General features: G+C 38.8%; 1 long non-coding RNA gene across 1 annotated transcript; it reads left to right on the forward strand.

Annotated features, from left to right (window-relative positions):
* The first annotated feature begins 454 nt into the window (after positions 1 to 454).
* Positions 455 to 5,329, forward strand: LOC105369289 (uncharacterized). Its single transcript, XR_929529.2, has 3 exons — positions 455 to 767; positions 990 to 1,096; positions 5,200 to 5,329. It is a non-coding gene; the product is annotated as an uncharacterized LOC105369289 (long non-coding RNA).
* Positions 5,330 to 14,981: the final 9,652 nt, after the last annotated feature.

The following is a 14,981-nucleotide window of genomic DNA, read 5'->3' on the forward strand; positions in this document are numbered from 1 at the left end:
TTAGTACAATGTTGGACACAGAGTAAGTACTGAATACAATTGTGATGACAATGATACTATACCTTATAGACTATGAGGTCTTCAAGAACTTCCAAGTGTAAGGACTATATTTTACTCATTTTCCTGTCCCTAGTATCCAGCTCAGTGACCGGGAGACAGATCTCAATTATCGTTTTTTGAGCAAAATTGACTAAAACCGAACAGAGAATTGCCACTGTTAAGAAAAGAGAAAGGCCAAGAGAAGAAAAATCAGAGAGCTCATGATGAAAAACCAAAGTGTGTAAAAAGACAGTGGAAGAGGTAAGCATCAGGTCATTGTTGAGGAATATTCACACTTGATCTTAGCCAAAAGGCCAAGAAGCGATTGTTGAGGAATGTTCTAGATAAACAATGCCCACGACACAACAAAGCATTCCCTTCTTTGAGTTCCACAGTCACATCAAACCAACACAAAATGAATTGTTGTTAAAAAACATGGACCTCTTTGCTTTTCAAAGTTTAAAAATAAATTTTCTCCTCAAGTAAGATGAGTCTTGGTAACTAACTAGAAAAGAATGTTTAAAGGAAGGGGCTGAGCATTCAGGAATGTCCAACACCATCTGTTTCCCTGAGGCTGGCATTGATGGTTGACAAGCAAAGGAAGAAAGGATGTTCTGCCTTAATCAACTCTAAAATACCCTCCCCATTATTAATAACAATTACAATCACCAATATCTGTTAGGGCTGACTGTCCCAAGCTCTGTGCGTAGTGACAGCAACCCAACCAGGTGAACATTACTACCCTTTTTTTACAAAGAGAAAAATTGGGGCTAGAAAAGATTAATTTCTCATACACCCAATAAGTAGAAGAGTCATGTTTAGACTCAGGTTTGTGGAACTCCAAAGACTGAATCTTAGTCATTACCATAAACCAGCAGTCTACTATTATTCTGCAACAAAATGTGCTCATAGATTCTACTATATGCTTTAATTTCTCTACTGTTTCATAGGTATTGCCTTTCATCACAGGTTTTAAACATGGACTCCAGAAAGCAATTGCTAATATGGAGGATGAATTCCCTAAAACCCAAAGGAAGATGCATCAGCACATTGGCAGGTACAATTTTCTGGGGAGAGAAAGGTTTATTGTGACAACAATTCATAAAGGGGTTTGTGGCCCAAAAACATGTTAAGAGCCACTGCATTAGACTATACATTCAAGAACAAAGGGGGCTTATTCTTTATCATCCTGTTGTGACAATACCTCTCTGAAAATTAGTAAGGTTACATAATACTAATTAGGTGTCAGTGGGATCTAAATAAATTTAAGTCTATTATCATTGTTTTATAACTCTGAATTTTAAAGTAGAGGTGAGGATGAGCAAAAAAAAAGAATGGTAAAAAAAATTATTCAAAGGGATATTATTCAAGGAAAGCCAACTTTTTTAGCTATTCTTAAAATATAGTTACTATTCTGAGGAAGAGAAAAAAACAGTTCCACTTGTTTATTTCAACGCCCATTCCCATTTGTGCAAAGAACTACTTAACCACCAGGCAAAGATAAAGATAGGAAGCTCCTGGTGCTGCATCAACATCTTAAATCCCATCTCTCAGCACAGGACCAAAAAGTACCCAGCTTACAATAGCTGGTAGACAGAGCTGCAGATCCATTACATAAACCTGTGCAGAGTTTCTACTGATGACATGAAATCATAGGCACTTTTTGCTGGTGATGGCAACAATCCTCTTTAAAACCTACTTCCTTCTCTGCAGGATTCAATTACCCAAATTACCTAGCTCCCTTCCCTAAGCTTACCAGGAATAAGCCACTTCTCCAAATATTGCCAGACATATTTTTCTCGCCCTGGACTTTCTGGTCCTGTGGATGTAATACTTTCCACATCTTTCTTGCTGGTACTTTTCAACTTTCCATTTCCCTTTGGCGAAAGACCGTTCTGCGTTCATGTACACACTAGCAGTCACACACAAAGACATACATACACCCACAGCACAACTGGATACTGTGTTCGTGGCTAGGGAGGATGTTGTTATTAGGTTAAACTGCTTAGCTAATTCAGCTTCCCAGTGGTGCCCTGATTCTCACTTGCTTTAACACATTTGCCTCTGTAGAAAAATGATTTTCCTTTAAGGGAATCAGGAATTTCCTCTGGAAGCATGTAGTCAGTTGTGTTTTGTTTGGTTTTCTTTTCTTTTCTTTTTTTTCCTTTAAAAAAAAAAAAGGAAAAAAAGCAAGGCATAAGCATTTTAGTTCTTATTTTATTTGGGATCAAGAGATTTTTGTCCCCATTGAAACAATAAGATAAAGCGATTTGGCCTTTCCAATCTTACACCAACCCTGAGGTCCTGAGTTCAACCTTTCTCCAAAAAGAAAAATGTCAGGGCTGAAATGCACCAAATTCACCTAATATTCTGTGCTTCACTCTTCAAGAAGATGGATTAAGATGGCTCACCTCACAAAATGGGCATGACTCACTTGAGAAAATAAGAAATGTAGGCCTGTGGTTTAAGTAACTGCACTATTCTGAGGCAGGTTTTAGGCCCTCTGTGCAATTCTCATTTTATAACTTACCAGGGACAATTGTGTAATTATACAGTGCACTCTTTCTATCGGCAAGATCCATTGATCCTTAAGTGTACATTTTCTGGCATCCAATAAACTAGGACGATGAGCAAGCAAGGTTCTCTGCTCCTGTAACAGTGAAGGGCTAATTAGTTGCATTTGCAGATTAATGACTTTCAACTAGAAAGGGTGAATGCAAAGGGATAAGCCACAACCACAGTGACAGAATGCAAATAAAAGTATTTATAAGGGCAGGAGGAGGGGTGGGGGCCAGGAAGGGCCATCGATTGCTTTTATCCTCTGCATGGTGACACATTCCAATGAGGGAAAGCATTCTGCCAGCCTGGCTGCCTTCAACAAAGTTAAGGCATAAACAGAATCTGTTGATAGATGCAAGCAAGGCCAGGAGGAGAGGCAGAGAAAGAAATTCTCTACAGAAAGAGCAACAGGGATCAAGAAACCTCTCTCTCTTCTCACCCCAGCCAGCCTTTGCCTTCTCTTTGTCAGAGCAGCCTTCAATTTCAACTTGGCTCTCCTGCCCTGTCTCTCACCCTCATCTATAAAGGTTGACTTGATGGTTTGCTAGGAAACTTCCTAGCCAGTATACAAAATAACGTGTTTAAGTTCTCTGTTTATTCTCATTTTCTGAAATGACATTATGCATCTGAGTTTGTCTCATTATTATTTTTAATCCTCTCTCTCTCTCCCACATAAGTGCAAAGGTACCATCTCCTTTCTTTGACTTATTGGGCCAGTAAAAAGGTCTTTCCTCCACTCATAAAATAAAATGAAAGAATTAGAATGGGGGTTACACCAGGATAGAGATCACTGGTTCCCAGACTTCAGGATTTCACTGATTAAAAATATCTTAAAGGAAACTGGAGAGACTGATGTAAGATTTAAATTCTATTACAGCCCTAAGTAATTCACTGATTTTTTTAAGAGAACATTTTTATTTACCATAATAATCATTGTGTAAAAGAAAGTGTGTTTTGAAACCATGAAAAAGGAAAGACAATGCCATAAAGTAACATAGACCTTGATGAAAAACACCCCACCCTCTCATTTTATTTCTTATTTCTCCATATATTGCTAGGACAAGGTTTTGTTTTGTTTTGTTTTGTTTTGTTTGTTTTGAGACAGAGTCTTGCTCTGTTACCCAGGCTGGAGTGCAGTGGCGCAGTCTCGGCTCACTGCAACTGCCACCTACTGGGTTCAAGCAATTCTCCTGCCTCGGCCTCCCCAGTAGCTGGGACTACAGGCGCTTGCCACCACACCCGGCTAATTTTTGTATTTTTAGTACAGATGGGGTTTTGCCATGTTGGTCAGGCTGGTCTCGAACTCCTGACCTCAGGTGATCCACCCGCCTCGGCCTCCCAAAGTGCTAGGACTACAGGCGTGAGCCACCGCACCCGGCCAAAACAAGGTGTTTTAACCAGAGTATAGAGCCCAATTATGTTAAACTCTTAAACTAGGAACATGGTCTAAGTGCACAAATGTCACATCTTTGGACCAGACTTTCCTGATCCTAACTCCACTCCCAGGCAAGGTTATGGCCCCCTTATAAATTCTCATTGCAATCTATACTTTTCTTGTATGTAAACATAATTTGTTTGCTGTCTGTTCCCTGTTTTTGTCCACACTCTGTCTCCAAGATCTAACATAACATCTACCCATAATAAGCACACAGATTTTTTTAACTGGATGAACTAAAAATATTATTCTAGTTTTCAATCTGCCACTTACTAGCCAGGTGACCTTTGGCAAATTATTTAATCAAGCTGTTTCTTGCCTCATCGAGCTTGTTTGGGGGATCAGATCAAATGATGCAAGTGAAAGAGCTATGTCAACTGTAAAATTCTATGTGGCTGCAATTTACCAAAAAGAACAATGGATAAGCCAAGAAGCTTTTCTTTCTTCAAGTTGTATTTCTCTACCTACACAATTCTGTTAATTGCCTTTTGTGTCAGGCTTGCCAGCTATATTTCTCCTTCCAGTTAAAATACAACACCAAAGTTAACCTTAAATTTCTAGAAGAGGGTAAAAAGAACACAAGACTAGACATAAGCAATCTGGTTTCTAGATACCACCCTTCTACCAAACAGTCACAGCCCTCACTTTGGTTCTCTGTTTCTTGATCAATACAGTGGAGGATAAAAACCAGCCCCAAAATCCTAGTCCATGGGAATTGTTTCATCAAGATAATATGAGAAATCAGCACCACTCAGGAAAGATTTTACTCTTTGCTATTTAATAATCATTCCTGAGCACTTGTGATTTGCTAGGCATTTGTACATAGTTTAATTAAATTATTCTAAATAAGATAATTGAGCTATTTAAATTTTTATTTAAAATATTATCCAATGTTTCAAACTATATTTGATTGTCTTCCTGGTGTGGACACCTTGAGCCATCTATTAGATCACTTTGCTTTGCTTCGCTTTTTGTTGTTTTTGTTTTAGAGACAGGGTATTGCTCTGTCACCCAGGCAGGAGTACAGTGGTGCCGTCATCACTCACTGCAGCCTCAAACTCCTGGGCTCAAGCAATCCCCCTGCCTCAACCTCCCAAGTAGCTAGGACTAAAGGCATGTGCCACCACCCCCAGCTACTTTGCTTTGTTTTGTAATGTCTTCTCCAGCACTGGTACTCTTCATGAAGACTGATTTTTTTTCTAAACTGATGCTATACATGAGAATAAAAAGTTGAAGTCTGAAGTTCTTCAAATTCAATTCAACAAATGTTGACTGGGTGCTGTAAAAGAAAAATTGCACCAGATCCAGTTAAACAGGTAAGAAACACTTTATTCATGAGTATTGCAATAAAAGAGAGAGACTGAACTCAACTCTGATGAAAAGAAAGGGAAGAAGGGGGAGATTTTTAACCACTGGGGTGAGTTAAAGGAGGAGTGATTAATGTAATTACGCCATCTGTGTTTGATAACTGTCACTTACGGAAGTTAAGATTCTACACTCTCACAGAATGGGAAAATAGAAACCCTATCACTTTGGATTATTGCTTTTCAAAGGGGTGGCTCCCAGGACCTTGAGATATTCCTGGGTTGTAGATTTACATCTCAAAAGGGCAGAGAAAAAATTTACAGTTGCAAGTTTTCTAAGGTAAATGCTATTTAAAAAGAGAGGTCAGGGGCTTATAGTTAGAAAGAAGTTCATCTAAAGTTTAGCCAAGCTGAGGGCAGTGTTAAGGCAATCTTGGTAAGTGTTCACAGGGCTGGGCTAGGTACTGGAGGCACTTTGTCCTCTGCCTTCATGAAGCTTACAGTCTCTTTTTTTGGTTTTCCTTATAGTTCACATTTGAACTATTCATTGTAGATATTTGGGTACCTGTTCTATACAGATAACTAAACTATATGATCACTCATCTGTATGGCCCAATTCCAACAGTGTCTAGCCAAATGTCTTTTTGTTCAATTGGCCAGTGGTCTACCTCTGTGTCATTTATCTCTCTGGCCAGGTGTCTTTTTAGTAATTGTCTCAAACCAACAGTTTGATGGTAAGGCTGGGAACAATCTCAGGCTTGAGTTTAACCAAATGTTTCGTCAGTAATAACATTTCCTCTTATCCTCAAACGTGTTTATAAACCATGTATCTGTTTTGCCGTGATAGATCCTAACTTCAGGGTCTTTTCCATTCTACTCAAATCCCTCTGCATCTATTACTGATCTTAAGTGTTTGTCTACCAATATTCCATCAAACTTATGAGTAACATACTGTTTTGTGTCAGCTTCCTCCAGTGTTTTTATTTCTGTCGCTTGCAAATCCAGTTGCTCCTGGTCTCAGAATTCTTTGCATATCCTGGAGCCCTCATCTCCTACCACAGCACTCTCAGCTGCATTTTAAATGGCACCCCCCCTTTCATTATATTTAATCACATGGTAAATTTAAAAGATGAGTCCAGATACAGAAGGCTCGTTAACTTTAATGGGTCCCTTTTTATATGTGGGTGAAAGGCCTTAAACCCTTGTAAATTAGGCTGGGACTTATAAACCAAGACAAACGTGATGACAAATACTGATTTCCTAGTAAATTCCTTCAACACTCTATATCCCCACACATGATGAATTGGTAGTATTCCTTCTGTTATTATTTACACAAATGGCTTTGGCATTGTCTTGATACGTGAGCAATATACTTAAACCCGTGACAGATCTCACAGATTAGGGTAGAGCCATATATATTCCTCATTTGGCTTATACTTAAAAAAACAAAAGCTGACTATAATACATATGTGAATGCATGTGCAGAAAATTAAAAACATACTTTACATTCTGGTTAAAAAAAATAAAAATAGATGAAATTGAGGGAGATTCAATATTTCTCACATAACTGTTCAAATTACTGAGACTGTGTGGTCCTATTTCACAAATTATACCTCTGTGGTAAGATTCCTCTTCAAGAAGACTATAGAGATCAATCAGCCCCAGCCATAACAACCTTAATCCTGCTGTTAGACTTTTATAAGTTTCTGCCACCAGTGAGTTATTGCTTGACAAGTGTTTAAATATTATACATTGTGAAGTTTAAATAAAAAAATTATTTACACAGGAATATAAAAAAGTATATTGCCAATTATATAGTTCCCTGAACACTTAATCATGGAGCCAAGTAGAAAACCCTTCAGGAAGCCTGGCTTCTACCATTTCACCACACTGAAGGGCACCTCAGGAAATGCCCATTTAATCTCCGCAGCCGCATTTCAAGCACCTAATCTCACTTTGCAGTGCACTCTGCCACTTTTTGTCACCCAAACAAAATGCAGGTAAATGATGGAGAAGCTCAGCTTATATCCTTTAAATATTTACTGGCTAGTCTACTCACAGTAATACATGCTGTAGTGTTAGACTCAATTTCGCCCCTGAGTGGCTGGCAGACAGTTTGGATAGGCTTACTGAGAAGTGAGGATCTTTCCTTGCTTTGCCTTTGAGGAGAAGCCATTCCCTTATCTTAAGTGAATTAGTTTAAGAACTTTCCCCACTAGCCCAGTGAATCAACAAATCAGCCAGGCCTGCTGCACTGATGGCTCACTTAACCCAGCCCTGTTAGTTCATGGGGAAAATGTCCTGTGGAAGGAGGGTCCCCTGTGCCCCACCTGACCTGATGGATGTGGACCCCAGTCACACAAGGGTTTCCTTATTTCACAAAGTGAAGTTGGTGTAACTTGCTGGACAGAAAACCTACTTGATGAGTGTGTCATTTTCTTCCACAGCAGGAGCGTGAGCCAGAGTGAAAAGGAGGCATTGAGCCAGAGTGAAAAGGAGGCATTGCTCCCTAACCATGCCTGAGGCTTCCTTTAAAAACAGAACCATTTTCAATGTCAAGTGAGTAGGAGGCAAAAGGCACTGACTGCAGGTGGAGGCAGAAACCTTCCTCCCTCTGCTAGTTGTCCACGTTTTTATTGAAAGTTGGAAATCGTTTTAAAGTCCATTCAAAATGTGATTCTTATTTTTTAAAACTGAAGTAAATCTAAACATGCTGACACGAAAATATCGAAAGCATGAAATTAAAATTTTAAAATCCCATTTACACTTTACACTATATGTGTATATATGCACATCTATTTTATGTATTGATATGTACGTGTGTGTATATATATACATGTATATATTTGTCTACACAAAGAAAAGGTCTGGATGGATTCACTTTCAAATACTACCAGAAGTTTCTTTGAGATTCAGAGAGAATGAGAAATCAGAAACCAGGAATTTTACTACGAATTTTTGCATAGTTAGAATTTTTACAACAAGCGTATATTGCCACTATCATTTTTTAAGTGTTAATAAAGAAGTAATTTCGCCCATTTGCTTAATTTTTTATTACACTGGTAAATTTAGGCATTGAGGCTCAATGTTAGCCTGCAGATGGAAAAGCAGAGCCTAATCTCCCTCCCTGCTTAACAGCAGCAGATAATGTGACCGAAGTGGCTACAGAGCATATGTGGACATTAACAGGAGCTTCCACAAGGGTTTTTGACATGTCATTCTGAATCCTTCCCTGGGTGTTCTGATATCATCACAAACCCAACTCTGCATGCTTTATGGCTAATGAATGAAATGCTTCCAGAGCCGGATCTTATCCCTCTCTTCTCAAAGCATCTTTTCTCAAATATAGCCTATGCTTTACTAGGCGTTAGCCTACTTGTGGATTTGTGAAAATATTTAAATAATGTTTTGTTGGGTGTTTTTAAAGGTAGTTATGAACAAAAGTAGATTAAATCCCCTAGTCCCAATTCTGCCTCAAGGCTCCCAATATACAACCCCTCTAGGCATCAGAAGACCTAACCATTCCTTTTTTGAAACAAAGGAAGGCCCATCATTCCATAATTACTCTCTTGTGCAGATTGACACAATATCAGAGCTAACACAACAAACCACAGAAAAGACCAGGTTATAACATCTCTGCTGCTGTAAATTGAAATAATAAACTTTGGCAAACACAGAAGACAGCAAATTCAATTTGACAGTCCTCTCAAAGCAGACTAAGAACAACAGAGGGAAGCTGGCTAAAGAGGATCAGAATCCATTTTATTTGATTATTACATCATTGGATGAGGAAACTTGTAATGCAATTCTCCCAAATTGTTAATTCACCATTCACAAAATAATGGTAGAAATCAAATTATCATCATGTTCTACATTCAAAATCGCTGATTTTCAAGCTGGAAAAGAATGATCTAACCTCCTTTAGCTTCGAGAACTCTTTCTTTAGGTAAACACTCAGGTGAAAGTCCAATGTGAAAAACAGATTAATGCAATCTTGCTCACTGTGAAGGGAGAGGGAGAGCTGCAGCTGTGCTCACCTGTCCCACTTCTGCACGTCCCTCACTGCCCAACCCCTCTGCAAGAGCCTTTGGGGAATCCCTGAGTGTCTACTAGGGCACATCATTTGGAAAGCAACTGATCTAGGCCATTGCCACCTTCATTTAAAAGATGCAGACTAACTCTCTTAAGATCATTAAGTAAAGTTAGAGTGAGGGATGAGGAAAGAAGTGAAACCACATTCTGACAAAGATTCTTATTGGGAGATCAAGAGTAAATTCATCTTTTTAAAGGGTTAAGTGATAACAGTTAACTTTTATTGAGCATTTGCTACCCACTAGAAATAGTGCCAAGTGCTTTATGAGTCTTAACACAATTGATTTGTACAAAATCCCCATGAGGTACTATTCTTATAAACAGATGGAAGTTTGGGCTCAGAAAAGTTAAATGACTAGCACAAGATCACACAGCTAAGAAGCAGAAGAGCTAGTTCAAACCCAGGCACGTGGCTTAAGTGGCAAGGTGCCTACCCCTGTGCTCACCTACCTCTGCCACCCACACCCTGGCTACCATGACTTATTTTTTACCCAATTGTATTACCGATAAAATGGAAAGAAGGCAACTTCTCACTGGCTTTACCACACTCTGTAGACACAACTACGTGCATCTCCTGCTGGAACTAATATTCCACTCAATTCCTTAAGGATTGCCACAGTGACAGCTCCTATTCGAATCAAGCCAGCCAACAAACAGGCTATTTCTATCAAGAATAAGCTCCTCAAATCCAAAGCTGTGACAAAAAGAGACACGATTGCAGAAACTCTGACAGACAAGAATAAAAGCCAAAAGCAGGCTTGACAACCAGGATACACCCCCTCCAAGAGCAGAAAAAAATAAGGACAGATCAAGCTGGGGTATCTGGGGACAAAACCAGACATGGATAAATAGAGATAGGAAGAGACAACCAAGGACCAAGTCACAATAATCCTAGCAGGGGTCAGAGCAGATGAATGGAATGTGAGTCAGCAATGAAGTATAGTCATCAGGAATAAAAGGAAAATCATTGTGAAATGCCCTGGGAGGAGTGTGACTTGCAAGGACTCTAAAATACGCCTTCCAGTGTCTATTCATCAGCTTACACCTTAAATGTGTTCTGTGTCCAGTACTGGCCATTACACTTTTTAATAATGGAGAGAAAATAGATAAAGGCCAAAAAGTCACAGCAAAGTTGACTAGAAAGAGGACACAAAGTCCTTTGGAGAAAGATTAAAATCTTTAATGTTGTTTAACCCACATGAGATAATACTGAGATGAAAAGATCTCAACTGTATAAAATATGCCTGCAAGAGAATAATGACCATTTGTTCTCCATTTACACAAAATAATTTATCCATTGGCTGTTTGGATGAACAGTTATCAAGGACCTATGTGCTTGGGGATACAAATGTGGAAAACACTTCTAATTTATATCCTGAAAGAACTTCACAGTCTAGCGAAGAGCTAGACATGAAGATAAACAACATTGCAGCATGATAGTTACTATAATTCAGGCATATATGAAGAGCAGAAGGATACAATGAAGGAAGTGGTAAACCCTATGGCAGTGGAGGAGATGCGGGGAGATGATCACGTCTTGAAAGAAGAGTAGCAGGTTTTTCAGAAATTCAAGGAGGGAAAGAGTATTCCAAGCAGAGGGAATAATATGTGAAAGGTAGGAAGATGGGAAACTGTCTAGCACATTCAGGAACTTGCAGTGAGTTCAACAAAGCAGGAAATTGGAGTATAAGAGAAGAAAAGCAGGAGATAAGCCAGAGTCATAGGCTGGGGCTAGATAATGGAGATGTTTTTACGTACACCAATAAGCTAGGCTTATATCCAGGCAGTTACGATATTTTGTTACAAAATCAAAATACTTCCACGTCAATTAGAATGGGGCCTTTTGTTTCCATCCTCCTCTCCAGACACTTTCCCTCCAGTGGGACTTTCAGACCTCCTCATAATCCACCGACTCAAGGGTAATGCCTAGAACTGCAGCCTCCAGTCTCCTCTCTAGTTCTATAGCAGTGTCCATTTTGATGGCATGATGGTTGTTAAAAATGTTCAATATCTGCTAACATTTGGGGACTTTAACCATAGATGACAGGGAACCACTGAAGAGTTTCAAGCAACTGCATCACACAACCAGACTGTCATAAACTTAAAAAGAAATTATTGATCGTCAAAGTAACCAAAAAGGAATGAAGCCTCTCTCCATGGAAATATTTTAAAAGATACACAATTTTTTATCCTATAGACAGTTTCAATGCTGCCTGGCCTATGGGTGACTGGATGAGATGACTCCAAAGGGGCTTTCACTTCATTTATGAGGCTATTCCATGATCAAACACTGCGGAAACACTGCCTGGTTATATCTTCCTCCTACATATCTGAGGAGGATGAAGAAAGTGAGAGAGCTGGCTGAGAGAGAGCCTCTTTGAGTGACAATCTCTATTTCACATGCTATAGAGGCACAGGCACTGTTTAGTGTTGAAATTCTTTTCACAGCATGTGGCAGGTAACCCCTGGCAGCGATCTTCTGTCCCAGAGCTTTCTACACTGTTGCCCTCTCTTCACCAGAGACAGCTACAAGGCTGGGGCAAGGTGTGGACTTCACTTTTCCAGATGATGGCAAGCAGCCAGGAACTGTCAAGGGGAAGGAAAGAACTCCAAGATCACCCAGCAAAACAGGAAACTGAAGGGGGATGAGAAACCACATTGCATCTCAGAATCTCGCCACTTAAGCTGTATCTTTCCAGATGCACTATATTTCACCTAAATTCAAACATTTCCAAATGATATTAAAAAAATTAAACCTCATCTTTTTCGTTTAAAAAAAAAATATGTGTTTCTTGGTAAATCACACAACTCTAGTGCCGAATTTTCCCCTGCTCATTTTTTCACATCTTTCAATTACCTGCTGATCTACTACTGTGTAAGTGTTTTTCTCCTCATTTACTGAGGATACTACTTTTTCTTATTTTTTCCCCTTATGCTCACCTAATTAACAGTCAAGCAGCTTTTCATACAAAATCTCCCAGCTTTAAATTTTTCCTTCTGATTAGGAGTTTTAAAAAAGAGCTTTGGGGTTTTCAAAAATGCTTTTTCCAAGAGATTTATGTGCTCAACCATCAGACTATCCATCTTAAACCAGGCCAGTGTGAGCAGCAGCCTCTAAAACTCCAGGAGACAGGGAGGCCTGTGTCCCCTGACACAATCGTTAGATGTTTCAAGGGCAGGGTCCTTTGAGGCCATGCTATGGCCATCTGAGCTTGATCACAGGTAAGACACAAGAGCCATCTTCAAAAGATCTAATTTCTTTAATCCCTTTTTATTGTGCTGTACTTTTAAGAGTTAGAAGAAGCCATGCTTTTAAACTTCTGTTAATTCATTTAACAATCATTTATTAACCACCTACTAGGTGCCAGGCACTAAATTAGGTGCTGGAATATAATGATGAGCAGAAGATACGTATGGTCCACCACTTAATGGTGTGTATATTCTATAGCAGCAGTTCTTAACATTGGTTGCATATTGGAATCCCCCAAAGAGCTTTGACTGCTTCCAATGCACATCCACCTCCAGACCAATTAAATTAAAATCTCCAGGTATGAGACTCAAAATATTTTTCAAAGGTCCCCAAATGACTCCAAAGAACAGCCAAGGTTGAGAATTAGACACATCAATCAAATAATTACACAAATAGATATCAAATTATAACATTAATAAAGACTGTAAAGAATTAGTCACACTTTGAGGAGGCTTCAGCACCATTTGTTTATATATACAACTGAGATTTGCCGAGCACCTGCTTTTATCAGGACTTACAAGGTAATGTGACTATAGGTCATAACCCAAAGAAACATTGGCCATCCTGGTTATCCTTCATCTTCATGGGTCAGAACTGACCACTGAGCACTTGGAGATTTCTGGTCATTTCCACTTCCTCTATCAGAAGACCAGAAAGAGGTCAACCCACCTCACTCATGCCAGACAGACATGTGAACCACAGGGCACAAGCAAAAGTGACTGCCAGACCCTCCTAAATGCTGGCAGGATATCTCAGCAATGCTACTTGATTTGAAATCCCATGCTTAGATCGACGGGAGTAGTGCGTGCGGTATGATAATCTGAACTGACAATAAATGCCAAAGAAAAAGGAAAAATGAAACTTGATACTAGGTTTGGAGATTTAAAGAGGGAAATAAATTCTGTAAGACTCTAAGCAAGATTGTCTGGGATTTGCTAAGGGATATGTGCGGAATCCTTACATAATGAGCTTCTTTAAATAAACAAACAGCATTCTGGCTTTACAAAAGCTTCTGGATACTGGAGAGATTATTAAAAAATAAGAGAGGTGGTGATTTAGCTTCACCACTGCGGCTGAGAATGGCCTTCTAGATTTGAATACTTTCCACTCTCACTTGTTTGAATCATCGTCCCTCAAGATAATGAAGTTTTTTTTCTCGTTTCATTTTGTGATTTTCTTTAAGAACTCCCCTGGCATCATTCATTTGATTTACACTGAATCGAAATTAACTGTACCTAAACAACTTTTTATTAGTTCATTATATTCTTCTCTCCATTTATTTGGCCTTTAGTCTGACTTTAAATTGTAAACTTGACTTCATACAGATCACTATAGCTATCATCTAATTGTCAGAAAGCAGATAATATTCAATATTAAGGATTGATGACACATGGACAAATACATATCTCTAAAGATAAATATTTTTAAAATCCTTTGCCATTCAATTTTTAATACATAATGACTATCATATTTTCTTAAACACACACTCCAAAACACTTTAAGAAACAAATGAGCTGAGAATTTGCCATGTTTCCTAAGATCCCAAGAAGAGAGTAGCTAAGACTGGATTTTATTCCAAAGGGGAAGAAACCTTCATTTTTCATAAGTACAGAAGATTTGGATTTAACTTAAATGGAGCGCAAGATCCACACTGCGAAGTTACCAGCTCTTTCCGGATGCTATATCATTTGTCTGTACCATGAAGGATTAGACTCTAAGTATGATTTTCTGAGGTCTGATGTAAAGTGGAACCCAGAAGCTTTGCATGATCACACTGTTAGTCAAGACTCACCATTCAAAAAATCTCTTAATTTACAGTTTAATAAACAAATGTGGAAACTGAGCCAAAAGGAAAACAAGATGAATCTGTGAATATGATGAATGCCCAAAGCTCATGCTATAAGTTTCTATATGAAAGGTAGAGCCTTTGGCTCAGAGCTTTCTAGGAATTAGCCAAATCCATAACATAATGCTCGGTAGTCTCCTCAGGCCATTGAAGCCCTATCTGTTCTGCTAAAGAGTGTGAAGAATTTTCCCACGATGCCACTTAAAATATCCCTACCTATCACAAGCTCAATGTTCAGTTTTGCCAGCTTAAAACAGTCCAACACAATGTTATTTATTATAACAGGTAGTCAGCTAGATCCTGAACCAAAATTATATCTTCCAAAATAGAATATGTGTAATATGTAGTGTGGTTAACATGTATCATAAATACCAAGCCAATTTACCAATCCTTGTATTATAACAGTGTTCCATTTTAACAATTTTGGGATTGCCATAGAAAGCAATTGTTCCTTTT

This window comes from Homo sapiens, chromosome 9 (genome assembly GCF_000001405.40).
Source record: "Homo sapiens chromosome 9, GRCh38.p14 Primary Assembly".
Classification (NCBI taxonomy): Eukaryota; Metazoa; Chordata; class Mammalia; order Primates; family Hominidae; genus Homo; species Homo sapiens.